At 38.6% G+C, this 20,295-nt stretch overlaps 1 protein-coding gene across 1 annotated transcript in view; it reads left to right on the plus strand.

Annotated features, from left to right (window-relative positions):
- The window catches only part of GDAP1 (ganglioside induced differentiation associated protein 1), a 138,470-nt gene extending 118,550 nt beyond the window's left edge, over positions 1-19,920 (plus strand). The window contains exon 6 of the mRNA NM_001362931.2: positions 19,726-19,920. Coding sequence (NP_001349860.1) covers positions 19,726-19,823 — 98 coding nt within the window. The 3' untranslated portion in view covers positions 19,824-19,920. The remainder of the gene's footprint in view (positions 1-19,725) is intronic.

Raw genomic sequence — 20,295 nt, forward strand, 5'->3', positions numbered from 1 at the left:
TTATTAATTATTAAAAATTAGGAATGATTTTGAATTTTGTCTTTTTAGCATCCAGGGAGATGATTATATGATTTTTTTCTCCTCAGATATATGCATATGATGAATTATAATAGGTGAATTACATTAATAATCCTGAATTATTCTTACATTATTGGAGTAAACCCAATTTGGTCTTAGTGGATCATTTTTTCTAATGTTCTGTTTTAAATGTACTGCTAAAATAACACATAGGTATTTTTATTATACATACAAGGAAGATTGGTCTGTAGTTTTTTTTCCTCTAATGTCTTCTGAATTTTGACATCAGTGTTAACATATTTGTTTAATAAAAATTAGGATTTTTTTCCTTTTTAATGCTCTGAAACAGTATATATGCAATTAGAGATATTTATCTTTACAAATTTTAAATGTAAAAATTTGTTAAAAGTATTCTGAGGCGGGCGCAGTGGCTCACGCCTGTAATCCCAGCACTTTGGGAGGCCGAGGAGGGCGGATCACGAGGTCAGGAGATGGAGACCATCTTGGCTAACACGATGAAACCCCGTCTCTACTAAAAATACAAAAAATTAGCCGGGCGCGGTGGCGGGCGCCTGTAGTCCCAGCTACTCGGGAGGCTGAGGCAGGAGAATGGCGTGAACCCCGGGGAGCGGAGCTTGCAGTGAGCCGAGATCGCGCCACTGCACTCCAGCCTGGGCTACAGAGTGAGACTCCGTCTCAAAAAAAAAAAAAAAGTATTCTGAAGCCTGGGTGCAGTGGCTCATGCTTGTAATCCCAGCACTTTGGGAGGCTGAGGTGGGCGGATCACCTGAGGTCGGGAGTTTGAGACCAGCCTGACCAACATGGAGAAACCCCGTCTCTACTAAAATACAAAATTAGCTGGGCGTGCTGGTGCATGCCTGTAATCCCAGCTACTCGGGAGGCTGAGGCAGGAGAATTGCTTGAACCTGGGAGGTGGAGGTTGCAGTGAGCCAAGATCGCACCATTGCACTCCAGCCTGGGCAACAAGAGCAAAACTCCATCTCAAAAAAATAAAAATAAAAATAAAAATAGAAAAATAGTATTCTGAAACCATTTGAGCCTGGAGGTTTATTTGGGAGTTGGGGGACTTAGCTTTTATCTTCATTTCTTATATTGATATTACTCTGTTTAGGTTTTTTTTTCCTTCAGTTTTTGTAGCTAATGCTTTCTTAGAAAATTATTCGTTTCGTCCAAGTTTTCAAATTTATTTGCTTGGTGTTAAGTAAAGTGATTTATTATGAATCTTTTAAAATTTCCTCTGTTTCCTCTCTCCTTTGCCTGCTTTTATTTTATTTATTATACTCTAAGTTTTAGGATACATGTGCACAACGTGCAGGTTGGTTACATATGTATACATGTGCCATGTTGGTGTGCTGCACCCATTAACTTTTCATTTAACATTAGGTATATCTCCTAATGCTCTCCCTCCCCTCTACCCCCACCCCACAACAGGCCCCGGTGTGTGATGTTCCCCTTCCTGTGTCCATGTGTTCTCATTGTTCAATTCCCACCTATCAGTGAGAACATGTGGTGTCTGGTTTTTTGTCCTTGCGATAGTTTGCTGAGAATGATGGTTTCCAGCTTCATCCATGTCCCTACAAAGGACATGAACTCATCATTTTTTATGGCTGCATAGTATTTCATGGTGTATATGTGCCACATTCTCTTAATCCAGTCTATCATTGTTGGACATTTGGGTTGGTTCCAAGTCTTTGCTATTGTGAATAGTGCCGCAATAAACATAGGTATGCATGTGTCTTTATAGCAGCATGATTTATAATCCTTTGCGTATATACCCAGTAATGGGATGGCTGGGTCAAATGGTATTTCTAGTTCTAGATCCCTGAGGAATCGCCACACTGACTTCCACAATGGTTGAACTAGTTTACAGTCCCACCAACAGTGTAAAAGTGTTCCTGTTTCTCCACATCCTCTCCAGCACCTGTTTCCTGACTTTTTAATGATCGCCATTCTAACTGGTGTGAGATGGTATCTCATTGTGGGTTTGATTTGCATTTCTCTTATGGCCAGTGATGATGAGCATTTTTTCATGTGTCTTTTGGCTGCATAAATGTCTTCTTTTGAGAGGTGTCTGTTCATATCCTTCACCCACTTTTTGATGGGGTTGTTTTTTTCTTGTAAATTTGTTTGAGTTCATTGTAGATTCTGGATATTAGCCCTTTGTCAGATGAGTAGATTGCAAAAATTTTCTCCCATTTTGTAGGTTGCCTGTTCACTCTGATGGTAGTTTCTTTTGCTGTGCAGAAGCTCTTTAGTTTAATTAGATTCCATTTGTCAGTTTTGGCTTTTGTTGCCATTGCTTTTGGTGTTTGCCCGCTTTTAAAATAATTTTATTTAAAGTATTTTCACTTCATCTTTTTTCCCTGATTAGTTTTGCTAGTGGTTTATTTTACTTAAAAGATTATTTATTTAATTTTTACAATTTTTCTGTTTTCTAAATCAGAGTAAATTTTCCTTTTTTTTTTAAAAAAAATAATTCCTTCCTTTTGTTTTCTATTGGTTTATTTTGATATTCTTTTTCTCAATTTCTGAGTCATATTTTAAATATTTAAATGATTTTTCATTGACTTTTTAAAAAGTATACAGTCTTATGAGTTTTAACATGTATCTACATATACTGGTGAGACCATTACCAAAATCAGGATGACATTTAATTTTCATTACCCTGTTGTAATCCATCCTTTCTCCATCCCCATCCCCAGATAACCACTGATATACTGCTTGTCACTGTCGGTCAGTTTACACTTTCTAGAATTCTATGTCATTGTAATCGTGCAGTCTGTACTCTTTTTCATCTGGCTTCTTTTACTTGGCATATTGATTTTGAGATACATTATTGTTGTTCATATCAATTGTTTGTTCCTTAATATTGCTGAGTAGTACACAGTTATATAGCTATACCAGAGGTTATAGAGGTTGTCCATTCACTTAATTAAATTAATTAATTAATTGTTTTAAACTTTTATTTTAGGTTCAGGAATACATGTGCAGGTTTGTTATATAGGTAAACTCATGTCATGAGGGTTTGTTGTACAGATTATTTTGTCACCAGGTACTAAGCCTAGTACCCAATATTTTTTCTGATCCTCTCCCTCCTCTCACACTCCACTCTCCGATAGTCCTCAGTGTCTGTTGTTCCCTTTTGTGTCCATGTGTTCTCATCATTTAGCTCCCACTTATAAGTAAGACTATGTTGTATTTGGTTTTGTTTCTGCATTAGTTTGCTGAGGATAATGGCTTCCAACTACCTCTATGTCCCTGCAAAGGACATGATCTTGTTCCTTTTTATGACTGCATAGTATTCCATAGTGTACATGTACCACATTTTCTTTATCCAATCTACCTTTGATGGACATTTAGGTTGATTCCATGTCTTTGCTATTGTGAATAGTGCTGCAATGAACATAGGGATGCATGTGTCTTTATGATAGAATAATTTATATTTCTTTGGGTATGTTCCCAGTAATGGGATTGCTGGGTTAAATGATAGTTCTATTTTTAGCTTTTTGAGCAATTGCCACACTGCTTTCCACAATGGTTAAACTAATTTACACTCCCACCAACAGTGTATAAGTGTTCCCTTTTCTCTGCAACCTCACCAGCATCTGTTTTTTTTTGACTTTTTAATAATAGCCATTCTGACTGGTGTGAGATGGTATCTCATTGTGGCTTTGATTTGCATTTCTCTAATGATCAGTGATATCGATATTGAGCTTTCTTTTCTTTTCTTTTCTTTTCTTTTCTTTTCTTTTCTTTTCTTTTCTTTTCTTTTTTGAGAGACATGGTGTCGCTCTGTTGCCCAGGCTGCAGGGCAGTGTTGTGATCTCTTGATTGTAACTTCTGCCTCCCAAACTCAAGCAGTCTTCCCTCCTCAGCCTCCCAAGTGGCTGGGACTATAGGTTCGTGCCACCGCACCTAGCTAATTTTTGTATTTTTTTTGTAGAGATGGGGTTTCACCATGTTGCCCAGGCTGACACTGAACTCATGGACTCAAGAAATCTGCTAGCCTTGGGCTCCCAAAATGTTGGGATTACAGGCATGAGCCACTGTGCCCAGCCGAGCTTTTTTTCCTATGCTTGTTGGCTGCATGTATTTTTTTTTTTTTTGAAAAGTGCCTGTTTATGTTCTTTGCCCACTTTTTAATGAAGTTATTTGTTTTTTTAATCTAAATTTGTGTAAGTTCTTGATAGATGGTGAATATTAGACCTTTGTCCGATGCATAGTTTGCAAATACTTTCTCCAATTCTGTAGGTGGTCTGTTTACTCTGTTGATAGTTCCTTTTGCTGTGCAGAAGCTCTTTAGTTTAATTAGATACCATTTGTCAATTTTTGCTTTTGTTGCAAATGTTTTTGATGTCTTCATTATGAAATCTCTGTCCATTCCTGTGTCCAGAATGGTATTGCCTAGGTTGTCTTCCAGGATTTTTACAGTTTTGGGATTTGCATTTAAGCCTTTAACCCATCTTGAATTGATTTTTGTATATGGTGTATGGAAAGGGTTCAGTTTCAATCTTCTGCATGTGGTTAGCCAGTTATTCCAGCATTATTTATTGAATAGGGAGTCCTTTCCTCATTGCTTGCTTTTTTTCAGCTTTGTTACAGATCAGATGGTTATAGGTGTATAAGGCTGTAGCCTTATTTCTGGGCTCTCTATTGTGTTCCATTGGCCTCTGTGTCTGTTTTTGTACCACTGCCATGCTGTCTTGGTTACTGTAGTCCTGTAGTACAGTTTGAAGTCAGGTAACATGATGCCTCCTGCTTTGTTCTTTTATTTAGGATAGCCTTGGCTATTCAGGCCCTTTTTTGGTTCTCTATGAATTTTAGAATAGTTTTTTTCCTGGTTCTGTGAAGAGTGTCATTGGTAGTTTGATAGGAATAGCATTGAATATGTAAATTGTTTAGGGCAGCATAACCATTTTAATAATATTGATTGTTCCTATCCATGCACATGGAATATTTTTCCATTTATTTGTTTCACCTCTGTTTCCTTGAGTTTGTAGTTCTCATTGTAGAGATCTTTCACCTCCCTGGTTAGCTGTATTCCTAGATATTTTATTCTCTTTGTGGCAATTGTGAATGAGATTGCATTCCCGATTTGGCTTTCAGTTTGTTCTTAGCTAGGAATGCTAGTGATTTTTGTACATTGATTTTGTAATCTGAGACTTTGCTGAAGTTTTTTATCAGCTTTAGGAGCTTTTGGTCTGAGACTGTGGGGTTTTCTAGATATAGAATCATGTCATCTGGAAACAAGGGTAGCTTGACTTCCTACCTTCATATTTGGATGCCCTTTATTTCTTTCTCTTGTCTGATTGTTCTGGCCAGGACTTCCAACACCATGTTGAATAGGAGTGGTGAGAGAGGGCATCTTTGTCTTGTGCTGATTTTTCAGGGGAATGCTTCCAGGTTTTGCCCATTCAGTATGATGTTGGCTGTGGGTTTGTCATATATGGTTCTTATTATTTTGAGGTATGTCCTTTCAATACCTAGTTTATTGAGAGTTTTTAACATGAAGGGATACTGAATTTTATTGAAAGCCTTTTCTGCATCTTTTGAGATAATCATGTGGTTTTTGTTGTTAGTTCTGTTTATATGATGAATCACATTAATTGATTTGTGTATGTTGCACCAACCTTGCATCCCAGGAATAAAGCCTACTTGATCATGGTGGATTAGCTTTTTGATGTGTTGCTGAATTCAGTTTGCTAGTATTATGTTGAGGATTTTTGCATCAATGTTCATCAAGGATTTTGGCCTTCAGTTTTCTTTTTTGGTTGTGTTTCCGCCAGGCTTTTGTAGCAGAATGATGATGGCCTTATAGAATGAGTTGGGGAGGGATCCCTTCTCAATTTTTTGGAATGGTTTCAGTAGAAATGGTACCAGCTCTTTTGTACATCTGGTAAAATTCAGCTGTGAATCCATCTGGTCCTGGGCTTTTTTTGGTTGGTAGGCTATTTATTACTGATTCAATTTTGGCGCTCATTGTTGGTCTGTTCAGTCTTCCTGGTTCAGTATTGGGACAGTTTATGTGTCCAGGAGTTTATCCATTTCCTCTAGATTTTGTAGTTTGTGTGCATAGAGGTGTTCATAATATTCTCTAATAGTTATTTGTATATCTGTGGGGTCAGTGGTATTATCTCCTTTGTCATTTCTAATTGTGTTTATTTTGATCTTCTTGCTTTTCTTTTTTATTAATATAGCTAGCAGTCTATCTATCTTATTATTATTTTTTTTCAAAAACCAACTCCTGGCTTTGTTGATCTTTTGAATGGATTTTTTTGTGTCTCAGTGTCCTTTGGTTAAGCTCTGATTTTGCTTATTCCTTGTCTCTGCTAGCTTTGGGGTTGGTTTGCTCTTGCTTCTCTGGTTCTTTTAGTTGTGATATTAGGTTGTTAACTTGAGATCTTTCTAACTTTTTGATATAGGCATTTAGTGCCATAAATTTTCCTTTTAACACTTCCTTAGCTGTGTCACAGAGATTTTGGTATATTGTATCTTTGTTCTCATTAGTTTCAAATAACTTCTTGATTCCTGCCTTAATCTCATTATTTATCTAAAAGTCTTTTAGGAACAGGTTTTTAAATTTCCATGTAATTGTATGGTTTTGAGCTACTTTTTTAGTCTTGAATGTTATTTTTATTGCCCTGTGGTCTGAAAGAGTTGTTGGTATGATCTTGCTTCTTTTGCATTTGCTGAGGATTGTTTTTTGTCTGATTGTGTGGTTGATTTTGGTATGTACCATGTGGCAATGAGAAGAATGTATATTCTGTTGTTTTTGGGTGAAGAGTTCTGTAGATGTCTATTAGATCCATTTGGTCCAGTGTTAAGTTCAGGTCCTGAATATCTTTGTTAATTTTCTGACTCAATGATCTGTCTAATACTGTCAATGGGGTGTTGAATTCTCTCATTATTATTGTGTGGGAGTCTAAGTCTCTTTGAAGATCTCTAAGAACTTCCTTCATGAATTTGGGTGCTTCTGTGTTGGGTGCATATATATTTAAGATGGTTAGGTCTTCTTGCTGAATTGAACCCTTCACCACTTGTAATACCCTTCTTTGTCTTTTTTGATATTTGTTGATTTAAAGTCTGTTTTGTCTGAAATTAGGATTGCAACCCCTTTATTATTTTTCTGTTTTCCTCTTGGTTGGCAGATTTTTCTCCATCCCTTTATTTTGAGCCTATGTGTGTCATTGCATGTGAAATGGGTCTCTTGAAGACAACATACGATTGGGTATTTCTTCTTTATCCAGCTTGCCACTCTGTGCCTTTTAATCAGGATATTTATGCCATTTACATTCAAGGTTAGTATTGATATGTGTGGATTTGATCCTGTTATTGTGTCATTAGCTGATTATTATGTCATCTTGTTTGTGTGGTTGCTTTATAGTGTCAATGGTCTGTGTATTCATGTGTTTTTGCAGTGGCCAATAATGGTCTTTCCTATTCATATTTAGCACTTCTTTCAGGCGCTCTTGTAAGGCAGGTCTGGTGGTAACAAATTCCTTCAGAATTTGCTCATCTGAAAAAGATTTTAGTTCTCCTTTGCTTATGAAGCTTAGTCTGGCAGGATATGAAAGCTGTGGTTGGAATTTCTTTGCTTTAAGAATGTTGAATATAGGCCCCCAATCTTTTCTGGCTTGTAGGGTTTCTGCTGAGAGGTCTACTGTTAGCCTGATAGGCTTCCCTTTGTATACGACCTGTCCTTTCTCTCTTGCTGCCTTTAACATTTTTTCTTTCATTTTGAGCTTGGAGAGTCTGATGATTATATGTCTTCATGATGGCCTTCTTGTGAAGTATTTTGTGAGGGTTCTCTGAATTTTCTGAACTTGAATATTTGCCATTCTAGCTATGTTGGGGAAGTTCTCATGGATAATATCCTGAAATATGTCTTTCAAATTGCATCCATTCTCCTCATCTCTTTCAGGGATACAAATGAGTCATAAATTTGGTCTCTTTACATAATCCTGTATTTCTCAGAGGTTCTGTTTGTCCCTTTGCATTCTGTTCTCTTTATTTTTGTCTGACTGCCTTATTTCAGAAAGCCGGTGTTCAGTCTCTGAGATTGTTTCCTTATCTTGGTCTATCATTCTGTTAATACTTGTGATTGCATTATGAAGTTCTTGAAGTGTGTTTTTCAGCTCTATCAAGTCAGTTACATTCTTTTCTCTACTGGCTATTTTGTCTGTCAGCTCCTGTATCACTTTATTAGGATTCTTAGCTCCCTTAGATTGGGTTTCAACGTTTTCTTGAACCTCAGTGATCTTCATCCCCAACCAGATTCCATATTTTTGATTCCATTGTTATTGTTTCAGCCATCTCAGCCTGGTTAAGTACCTTTGCTGGAATACTAGTGCAGTTGCTTGGAGGAAAGAAGGCACTCTGGTTTTTTGAGTTGTCAGAGTTCTTGTGCTGGTTCTTTCTCATCTTTGTGGGCTAATATTCCTTCAATCTTTGAAGTTGCTGTCCTTTGGATGGTTTTTTTTTTTAATTCTATTTGATGACCTTGGGGGTTTGTGGTATAAAGTGAACTCAGTCAACTGGCTTTGTTATTGGAAGATTTTAGGGGGCCAAGGCTCAGCTCAGGACTCCTAGGCTGTATTCTCTAACCCTGGGGTACTGATATCAAGACTGGCTTTGTTCTCTGGCTCCTTAAGGTTAGAAACCTGCTGTGTTGGAGGGGCCCAGGTACTCCCAGACTGCTGGTCACAACACTCTAATGGGTGGTGCCAGCCAAAGCACTTCAAAGGGCAGTGGCAGTGGAATCTGTCTTCATTCACATATACCAGCAACAGTGGCAAGGGCAGTGCAGTGCACTGCACACTCATCAGCTGGGGCAAGGTGCTAGTATGTGCTGGGGTACTGGCTTTCATGTGGATGTTCACAGTAGTCGCATTAGCAGCATGGTTGGGGTGGTGCTGTCCCCTTCACCAGCTACTGGGTGTCCGTTCTTGCTGATGGTGGTGTTAGGATAGAGGCAGGGCACTAGTGGGAGCAGGACAGTGTGTATCCTATGCGCACATTCGAGTCAGTGGCAGTGACTGTTCAGAGCCAGGACGGCTTTACTGTTCTTTTTGCCTAGTTTTGTGCTGGCAGCAGTGTTAGCACAGGCACAGGGTGCTGGTGGGGTGGTGGGGGTGGGGAGCAGCTAGTAGGGGTGGGGCTGGTAGGTTCCCTGCCTGCCAACAGACAACAATGGCAGTGTGGCAAGGGGAGAGGGGCAGAGTGCCCTCACACTGGCAGCAGTGACATGGTCAGGTGCACGTGCACACATGTGTTGGTGGGGAAGGAAAAGTAAGGTCCACTGGTGCACAGCTGTGCCGGCCAAGGGATGTTGGGGGTGGCCGTGGTTGAGTGTATGCAGGCAAAGTGGCAGGTGGGAGGCTGCAGTACAGGGAGGGCGTGGGTAGGCTGGTGTGTGTCTATGGGGGCTTCTCTGCTGGTACACTCTACCAGTCAGGTGTGGTCAGCCAGCACAGGAGCTATGATGTGGGCCCCCAGGAGCTACCTGGAGGCTGCACCGCAAGCAGGCATGGCCAAGCTGGGGCCCCAGGAGATGCCAGCAGACTGAGGGGTGCTCAGGTCAGACTGGCCCCATCTTGCAGGTAGTACCATCCTGCAGAGTTCAGATCTAACTTTTCCCCTAAGACTAAAAGTCTCCTAGGCACAAGTCCAGCCTAGGGGAATGGGTGTCCCTGGCTGTGCTCCACTGTAGCCACTCCCACACCAGACCCTCTGGGCTCCGCACCAGCTGGAGTTCTGCCCCTACCACTTGTCTAAGCAGTTCTCCCTGACAACTCAAGTGTGTGTGGTGGCTAAGGGGTCTCCTCCTGCCAGGATGCCGGAGGACTATGGTGAGAGCGGTTGCTCTTGCCAGTTCAACTCACCTCTTCCCCAGGAGTCACTGTGGACCAGGAACAAATTCCAGTGCATGGTAGCCTTGTACAGGGTTCCCAGCTTCCTCCCCTTTCAACTCAGCATCTGTGTCTTCCCTCCATTCACCCTCAATGCTTTCCCTGTGAAGATCTGCTGGGAGTGCACCAGTCTTTCTGATGTCGTGGTCCCTTAGTGGAAGATACTCCTCCTGATTGAGTTTAGTCAGCCATCTTGGTGACATAAGTTAAATGCCGAAATTTTTTTCTAAGCAATGTTTTAGCTGCACTTTACAGACCTTATAATAGTGTTGTTATTATTATTACTTTCTTGAAATTTTGCTTACTGGTTTAAAATTTCCAGGTAGAAGACCTTTCTGTTATTTGGTTTTGTATTTAATTTCTACTTTTATTGCCTTCAAAAGGATATTCTGTATTTTTAAGGCAGATAGTTCAATAAATATTAATCAAGTCTACTTTATAATTATATTATTTAGATATTTTATGTCCTTACCTATTTTTCCCACTTAGCTTTCATGGACTGAGAAGTGGAAATTAAAATCTCCTAATTATAAAAGTGTTTCTATTTATCTTTATTTCCTATAATTTCTTTTTTATGAATGTTGCTTCTATGTTAAATGATATTTTTACCTGCAATTTTTAAAAGATTAAATGAAATCTGTATTAAATGTAATCTTTTTTGCTGAATAGCAAATTACCTGAAATGTTAGTGGCTTAAAGCAATCACTATTTATTTAGTTCTTCTGTGGGTCAGTTGGCCAATTCTTTTTGTCTGGACCAGCTCAGCTAATCCTGCTAGGTTCTCGCCTATGTGTGTAGCCAGCTGGTAGGTTGAGTTGGCAGCTGAAGCTTCTAGGATAACTGGACCCTGTCAGGGTGTCAGGGTTGCTAGGCCAAAAATCCTTCATTATGCAGCAGGCTAGCCTGGGGTTTTTATATGGCAGGCACTAGGTTCTAAGAACAGCAAGAGCAGAGGCTGTAGGGTTTTTTGAGGCCTAGGCTTGGAACTCACAATGTCACTTCTATTGCTCTCTATTGGCTAGAGGAATTAGCTAGGCTATTCCCAGTTCCCATGGTGATCCCTGAGTGAGTGAAGAAATGGACTCTCTTTTTTTTTTTTTTTTTTTTGAGATGGAGTCTCGCTCTGTTGCCCAGGCTGGAGTGCAGTGGCGCAATCTTGGCTCACTGCAACCTCTGCCTCCCAGGTTCAAGCGATTCTCCTGCTTTAGCCTCCCGAGTAGCTGGGATTATAGGCGCATGCCACCACACCCAGCTAATTTTTTGTATTTTTGGTAGAGATGGAGTTTCACCATGTGAGCCAGGATGGTCTCGATCTCCTGACCTCAAGATCACCCGCCTCGGCCTCCCAAAGTGCTGAGATTACAAGTGTGAGCCACTGCGCCCGGCCGGCTCTGTATCTTGATGGATGGAACTGCACTGCAAAGTACTGGGCTATTTTTGCAGTCAGACACATTAACTGTACTGTCACTCTAGGAGTTGGGTTGTGGAATAAAGAGGTTACTTCCAGGATGACTATTCAGAAGTTCAGGAAATGGATACTAAAGGTCTGAACTAGAATATTGGTTGCACAGGCAGAGAAACGTTAAGCATCATTTGCTTTTGGCAAGTGAGAGGAAATGAGGAACTGAAGACTCCTTAGTCTATGATTTCTTGTTTGGATGATGTGTGAATGGTATTGTCATTGTCAGTCATAAAAGGAAGTTGTTGCCTTACAGAAGCTCCTAGCTTCCTTACTGTCTTCCTCTATCTATGTGTTGGTCAAATTTGAAATCACAAAATTGAGTCACATTTCTAGAGGTCAACTTTTAATGTCAAGTATGAAAAATAATCTTGTCCTAGATAATTACACTGTGTCTTTTGAGCTTTCTTCTGTTTCTTATTAAACCTATTCCAATTCTTCACTTTGGAATAGAAGATTTGGGCAATAGGGTGGAAGTTGGCAGAACAGACCTGTTCTCCTATATTTGTTTTAAGCCATTCAGGTAATGGAATTCATCTTGGATCCAGTAGAACTTCCTGGGAATCTAAGACTGTATCCTGATTGCAATAAAGCATTGTTGGGGGTCTTAGTTTGTTTTGGGAAAAAACTAGTAGTTGATATTTATAGAGTACTTACAATGTATCCTGAGTACTTTATGTATTTTAAATGATTTAATCCTTATAATTTTATAATAATCCATTTAGGGAGCTAATATTACCATTTTCATTTAACAGTTGAAGAAACTGTGACACTGAGAGGTTACCAAGCTAGTGGACATTGAAATCAGAATGCCTGGGATTGGGTTTTAGCTCTGTCACAGACTAGCTGCCTTTGGGGCACCCAGTGCATTTGGACGCTAGTAAAAATAATTAGAAGTAATGGTTCTCAGAACAGTGCCTTCAGCCAGGGCAGGGCTAAGCCAGGTCAGTTCTACTACCTTCTAGGATGGCACTTGGAATAGCTGCAGTAATGGCATCTACAAAATTTGGTTACTAGTATATAGACAATATATCATTCCTGACATTGTAGTCCTAAAGTCTGTTCTTTGACTATGTTGGCCTTATCTTGTGAAGTCCATGCCTTATTGTAGAGATTTTTCTTCCTATAACTAAAAATAAGACAGGGATTATTTGCCTACATCAGTGTAATAAAGTTCTACCTTCTTCTATCTCACTTCTTTGAATTGCTGCTCTCCAGACAAACCTTCATTTTGGGCAATAACAACTCCCTTTCTAATAAGTTGTTCACCCCTGTGGCTTTGTTTTGGTCTGACTGGAGCTAGGCCAGTTCAGATTTGCTCATTACTCTGGAGGCTAAAACCAAAAATTGGCTCCTCAGTGTATTATTAACTAAAATAAGCTTCTCTTCTCTTGAATAATTTTCCTATTAATAATAAAAAACACCAGTGCACAATAAGGAGAAGGGGGCTAAAAAGCTTGAAAACTGCTGGGAAAATACCCAATTTTTTGTTTGTTATGGTTGATGATGGAAATGGATTACATAACTTACCATCATTTATTTTAAACAGGCTAGACAAAGGAATAAAACAATGGGGATATAGACATGGGAGTTGGTCTTTAGCAGGGGAGGAGTCTAAAAGAGAAATCTGGTGTAATGGAGATAGACTTTTTGTGGTATGAGGTGGAATGGGGATAAAGGAGCAGTACGGTGGTGAAGGGGGAAGGACTTTCTGTTAGACTTCCCACATGCTTCTCAAACCAAACTGAAGGGTTTTTTTTTGGGGGGGGGGGGTCATCTTTCTTCCAGGATCAAGTAGCTTAATTTGACACTATTTGCCTCATTTACATTCTTATGTTATTCTCAGCAGCAGCATCAAACCTATGGAGTTCACGATTCCTTCAGGCAAAAGTGGCAGCTCCCATGTGATAAGGAATATAGTTCCTCAGTATTTGGCCTCCATGAATATATCAGCAAATTATCCCTATGCAAGGATCCAATATGGCTTTCCAGGGGCCTATCACCTCTACTTCCTCTTCTGATCTTGAGGAATTACTAGGAATTTGTTTCATTTACTTAGTTTTCACATTGTATTCCAGATTTTCTGTCTATAGATGGGCAGGGCATCAACTACTTGTGTGAGAAGATGTGTTATGTGGCATGGTTAAAAAACAAAACAAAAATGGTTAAAAAATGAAAAAAAATGAAACAAAAAATGTTTAGATGATTGGGCATTCCTTTAATATGGACACATCCAAAAGTATCACCTGGACTGCTTGTTTCTTTCCTCCTTTAGAAGTTGTTCATTTGGAAGCAACGTTTCCAGGTTTCTTTCTCCACGACACATGCATATGACAGCCTCTCTTTCCTTATTGTAAGTGAGAAAGGCACACTTACTGGATAAATAGAAATATTTGAGCCTGTGATTCTGGGTAGAAACAACTTTTAACAGAACTTTGGTGTGAAATGATGTGATTTTCATTACAATTAGTTTCTCCTTTCTACACTCTCTGTGACACTAAGTACCTGATGCTCTTGTGCTCTTTCCTCTGTTTTAACAAATGCTCATAGAGGCAGTACAGTGTAGGAGTTACAGACATGGGCTCTGGAGTCAGACTTCCTGGACTTGAATTCTGCTTGTGCCATTTGCTGGCTGTGTAACTTGAATAAGTTACTTAACTGCTGCAAGCCCTGGCAGCTTAATCTTAAAATGAAAGTAAACTCTGTTCTACTTTATGAGGTTGTTTCTGATCACAATAAATGAATGAGACCATAGAGCTAGTGCTCTTCTGGACACACAGTTAGAGTTCTATGTGTAAGTAATTATTATTGGGCATTAATTAGATCAATAAGACACTGAGCTAAGGCCTTGAGGAATAGAAAGAGTTATAACATTCCATCAAATGCTCAGAGTTTATATTCTTACAGAGGAATAAGATAAACACACAATAACAGTAGGCAGCATATAATGAGGGTAGACATTTGAACCATAGTTTTTCAGAATAAGGCTTTACACAGACTATTAGGTTGGTGCAAAAGTAATTGTGTTTCTTGTGGCAAGAACCGCTATTACTTTTGCACCAACCAAATAGAATTAGAGCTGTGTATTAAAGCATGGGTAGCTTTTGGATAGGAAGTCATTCATTTTTCCTCCTTATTAAAGGGTACTCTCAAGATAAAGTATTGGATAAGCCATCTGTGCATTGGCACGCATTTCAAAGAAGTCATCTTTTATAGGGTTATATACATTTAAAGCAGTGTCTTTAGTTATGTGTAAAGAAACTCCATACTCTCAGAGGCACTACTAAGCAGTGAGTGGAGATTATTTTTGGCCAGAAGGATCTTTCCAGAACTCTTGAAATGGTATTATATATTGGTTATATATTTTATCTACCTACAGGAGTCATGCTTAACTCCAGTTATATTGGAATAGCTTCTACTTAGGAGAAGTTGGAGGGCTAACTCTTGCCTTTTGTTGAACCAGGATTTTCTTGAAATGCAGTGATTTCTCCTTCTGCTAAAGGCTGTGTGTCCCAGGGCCACCTTACGGGATAGTTGGCCAAAGACTTCTTTCCTTCCAAGTGGTCACGGATTTCGACAGGATGAAGTGACTTAGGAACTAATATAGTGAGGAGTACATGACTTTGCTCAGAAAAGTGCAAAAATATCTATGTTGTTCCTTCTTTATTGGAGGCAAGAGAAAATTGAATTCAATCTACAATTGTACACAATAATATTGGTTTAATGAATAAATGTTCATTTAAAATACTAATTAAAATTATTATTTGATCTGGAAATTTTGTATAGAAGTTGCTTACAAAAACTAGAAGATTCTAAAAAGTGAAGTTATATTATAAAATTATACCATAAGCTGAACATTAATTGAACATTCCAATTAACAATTTCCTTCTATACGTCATACATTCAGATTGAATTTTTGATTCCAGGACATATTAGCAGGTTATATTTGCATCAGTGAGCTTAGACATATAAAGTTGCTCTTTAAATGACTGAGCTTTTATTCATTCATTCAGGACCAGATATTATAGCAGACATTGCATTTGTAACAGCATTCCATTATGTATTCATTCTTTGTTCTAAGGATATCGGAAAATAATGACAACTAAACATCACAGAACACATTGCTGATTCTGCAATAGTTTTATGATATATAGCTATGAAAGAAGGAGAAGATTTCTGCCTAACTTGGATAAGCAAAGTTGATCATAAAATTAGCCTCAATCATCAAATGGATGAATATGCTTTTCCCATTTCAGAAAAACCATAGTGTTATGAGATACCTGATCCTAGATCCACATTACTGCTCCTGGGAACTGGCAAAAATGGGCTTGCTAAAAAGACAACACACAGAGGAACATCAGTAGATGTCTGGTTCTGCTGCATTCTGCTTGTTATTTCTGTGAGGCAAATCTTATTTTTCTGGATATGCCCACTGAGTTTCCTAAAAGTCCATAAACCTAGTCATCTTGATTCCTTCTGTTTTATCCCCTATACAGTAAGTCAAAAAATCTCTGGTCTATGTTCTCTCATTACCACCGGCCAAGTTCAAGCCCTCATCATTTCTTAGTTAGACTGTGGTAACCATTGCCCAAAGTCTCTTTTCAGCCATTCTCAGATTTTCCAAGTTTATCCTTTACCATTTCAAACCCACACATTCACATGCAAAACTACCCTACTACTTAAAAATCACAAATGGTGCTCTGTCACCTGCAGAATAAAGTTACACTAGTTAATATGTAATTTTTTTTATAATTCCTTTCCTTTGGGTTCCACAGCTTAAAATATTACCCATATCCCTCTTACTTTCTGTGTTTCAGTTATTAAAAACTGACAACAATTCCCATGATACGATTATGAAATCAAAAAGTTATTCCAAATCCAAAGATTTATAGGTAAAATTCTGTTTGTCCTTCAGAAAGCAGTGCAGCAATCTAAGTCAAGTAATTGTTGACCTAGGTTCTATACCAAGAACTGTGACAGATACAAATGAAATAGAGTGACCATTAGTCCTGGCTTTCCAGGGACACCCCTTGATTATGTCTGATATCTAAAAGTCACTATTAATACCTTCTTTTTACTCTCAGTTTGGGTGATAGATTAGGTGGTCCCTCGGCATATGAGGCACAATTCTTGCTGTCATACAGCATTTAAACATATATACAAAAAATGGTTAGAGAGCAATACAAGATCCGATATAATCAAGCACTTAATTTTTTGACAGAGCCCAAAGTGTTATGTTATTATTCGGGAGAGAGTTGAAGTCATTAAGAAAGGCTTTAAATGGGAAGAACCTGAAGGCTGGAGAGACAGAGAGAGGCTTGGTCTTCCAAGTGAGGGAGAAAGATGAAAAAAAAAATCACAGAAGCAGGAATATACATGGCAATTTTGTGCCCCACTGAGGAAACCACCTTGAATCAACTGGGGAAAATGGTTTGTTGGGTGAGGTTTGGCCATTTGATGGGGGATTAGGGGGAGTGTGGACTCTGCTGGACCATAGGAACTGTTGTGGTGTCCAGAGCCCAAGAATGAGGAAACATGGCAACAGTGATGATTTGGAAAACTGACCCAAAAGTGGTGAGTGGGAGATGGTCACTTGTCCTGTGTGGGAAAGAAAATCTGTGGTACTGAACTCAGGGGCAGCAATTCTCTCTTTATTTACATAGCCTCCTTGAGAGAATTCCACTGAAGGGGAAATCCATGTTAGCAAGACTTAGGCTTGGCTCCCACCATTCCATGGGGGCATAGTTACACACATAGGCTGATAGGATTCTTGTCATAGGACGGAATGAACAGAAAATCATTACCTACAGGAAAATGTTTGGTATCAGATGACATGTCTCTTCTCTGGGCCAAGAAACCTATAGAGTTACTATTATTCGTTTTTTATTTTTTATGGCAGGAAAAATATAAATGAAAATACAGTGATGTTTTTCTTATGTTCTAATGCCATGTTTCATGATGCAGCCACAGGCGGTCACTCTATTTTGCTGCCTTTGCTGCACTTTGCACACTTATCACATGCTGAGGCAAGGTTTCCTTCACATGTCTAGCTCTCCTTCTGGACAGCAAATTCTGTGTGGTCAGAATCTTATTTTATCTTCAGTGCTTTGCATAATGCACTTCACGAATAAATTAGTGAATAACCAGCTGACGCTGGAATTTCTGCTTTTGATGATTTTGTTTTCACACAAAGAGGTTGAAAGATTCTCAAAAATCCAGAAAAGAGAACGTACTGTTCTTCTTGAGGCTGAAGCACTGTTGGGAGTTATGAAGCACAGTGGCTTCACTGAGTAGTGAAGGTTGTTGTGGTTTCATTTATGGATCTGACAATACACAAAATTATTACCTGAAGTCTCCTTTCTCAGCTAAGAAGGCCCCATGATATTCCCTGTTTGGATATTAACATATTTTATTGTTCTGCCCTCGGCAGTTTCTCCTATGACTTAAATCAAGTCAATAAATACTAAAGTATAGGTACAGAATCTGTCCTTCATTGCACTTTCTTGATGTTTTTCATTGTGAATTATGTCAGTAAGGCTTCAAACAGCCATACTAGAAACATGAATAGGCTTTGGAGTCAGGTAGACCTCGTTTAAATTATTCTATCTCACTTACTAACAAGCTATGTAACCATTCACAAGTTACTTCTCCTCTCCAAGCCTCCATTTCCATCTGTAAGTTGGGAATAATAATAGAACATACCTCATAGAGTCATGATTATTAAATGAGATTTGCATTTAAAAGACCATGGCACAGTGCCTGGCACATGGTAAACCCTTGATTAATGTTAGCTTTATTAATATTATATGTGAAAATAGGCTGTTCCCAGAAAACGAAATAGGTCAGTTGTCTTAGAATTAGCAGTTTGATACATTGCAGTGGAAATGAAGGAAACCATTTCAACAAAAACATACCTTAAGGAAGATGAATGCAAGCCCCAAAGTGAGGGAAATAGGAAAACTAAGATATATTATTATTTTTCTAAAACATTAATTCATAGCCATTCTTCTTTCCATCCTGGCTTCCAATATTGCATAGAGGAGGGATATACTGCCTCTTAAAAGGGAATTAAAACTTCTTTGTCCAAGCTGGCAAATGTGGGCAAATCCTCTTGTATCTGATGATGGCTAGATGAACATAGCAGGTGTCTGGCTTAATATAATTGAGAAAAGCGGGAAATATGAATATTCAATACTCACTGAAAATGATGGGCTTGGCAGGGGTAGACCTAAATGGCTGAAGCCAAATGTGAAGTTCATGTGTTCCATTGGTCCTTTTTACTTCTCTGGCAGGACTGGAAAGTAATGTAGATATGAACAATTTTCTAGGAAATTCAAAAGGTAGAGAGGTACAGTAGGTCATTTAGGCCAAGAGATCTATTTTATATTTGCCTCTTTAACTTAATCTTAGGATCTAAGAATCAGCTCTGGATTGAGCTTTGAGGTCCACTGAGAGGAAAGGCATCCATCCTGCCATCAGCTGAAGGATATGGACCATAAATTGGGAAGTGTTGTTGAAAGACATGCTTGCCTAGGACATTTCTAAGAAGTTACATCTTGATCCAAACACTGGGGTCTTGGATAAAAATGGAGATTTGTGTGCCAGACCTAAATTCAACAGACTTGTTCATATGCCATTCCACACTCATGCCATTCTCTTCTCAGCCCTTTACAGAGAGAATACTTTTCTGCAATGTACTGCTTTTGCTAGAGCTTTTTCAATATGTACCTCTATTTCTTGTACATTCTAGTGATTCTACTAATAAAATATTAGAGGAACAAGCATTAAAGTCTAATTATTAAAGTTAAAAATTATTAAACTAGCACATTCATTCATTCCTCTACTTTGATCCACAGGCATTTTGAGTAGTTAACAATCAGAATATATTTTATCTTTTTCTACGGAAGTTATTGGTAAAGAATATTTGCTTTTAACTTGTAAGGCATTTCCAAAATATCACTGTTGGATTTTGTCAAGCTCTTGAGGGATGAAATTCCTAGGAGTACTTCTTCCTTTCCCCCACAACAGGAGTTTGGGAAGTGTCCTGTACCCTCATCAATTTTTAGTGTAACTTTCTAATCATACTTGGACATAAGAATGACATTTCTTGGACTCTAAAGAAACAAATATGGCTGTGGTTTCTAATGGTGATTGTTATGGATAGAGTGAGTTAGTTGCTACTGACCTAAGTATACTCTTTGCATACACATTGAGACTTATTTTGGTTAATATGTTCTTACAAACTATATAATTAAATGCTGAAGACTATGATTTATTGAATGCAATTACCCAATTAATGTATTTGCTTTCTATTTTTAGCTTCTCATATGCAGCATACTGGTGGAAGAACAGCTCACCTGGTGCCAAAGACAACAGTGGACTTGGCAGAGCTTGCTGCCTTGACAGTGTATCAATAGCAGAGCTGATCTGGCACCTGCCAGTTGGGTTTATTTCAGCAAACCCACTTTAAAAATTTTATTAGCAAATAATGAATAAATAGGTTTGGAGCCTTTCTCCCCTTCTTGCTATCTTATTTTGTATAATCAGGATTGTGTGGAAAATTTTCCTGCCCTTCTGATCTTGCATTAGTGTTTTCAAAGTAATCAATCAATAAATCCTCACAATGGACTCAAGCTGAACTAGGATTACAGGCCAAACTTAGAGTGTTATGGACGTATTTTGAAAAGTTAAGTAGGAAGCCAACAAACTTAAGCATAAAAATCTTGCTTATGAGGACTTACTTAATATATGATTAGTTCAAACTGAAGCAACTTGGCCATGGAAAAATGGTGGCACATGTGTAACTCAAGGACTATTAACCTGATGAATTGTTTTTGAATGGAGTTGTACATATACTCAGTGTCCTGAATATATGTATTGTCCTGGTAC

The sequence above is a fragment of the Homo sapiens genome, chromosome 8 (genome assembly GCF_000001405.40).
Source record: "Homo sapiens chromosome 8, GRCh38.p14 Primary Assembly".
NCBI lineage: Eukaryota > Metazoa > Chordata > Mammalia > Primates > Hominidae > Homo > Homo sapiens.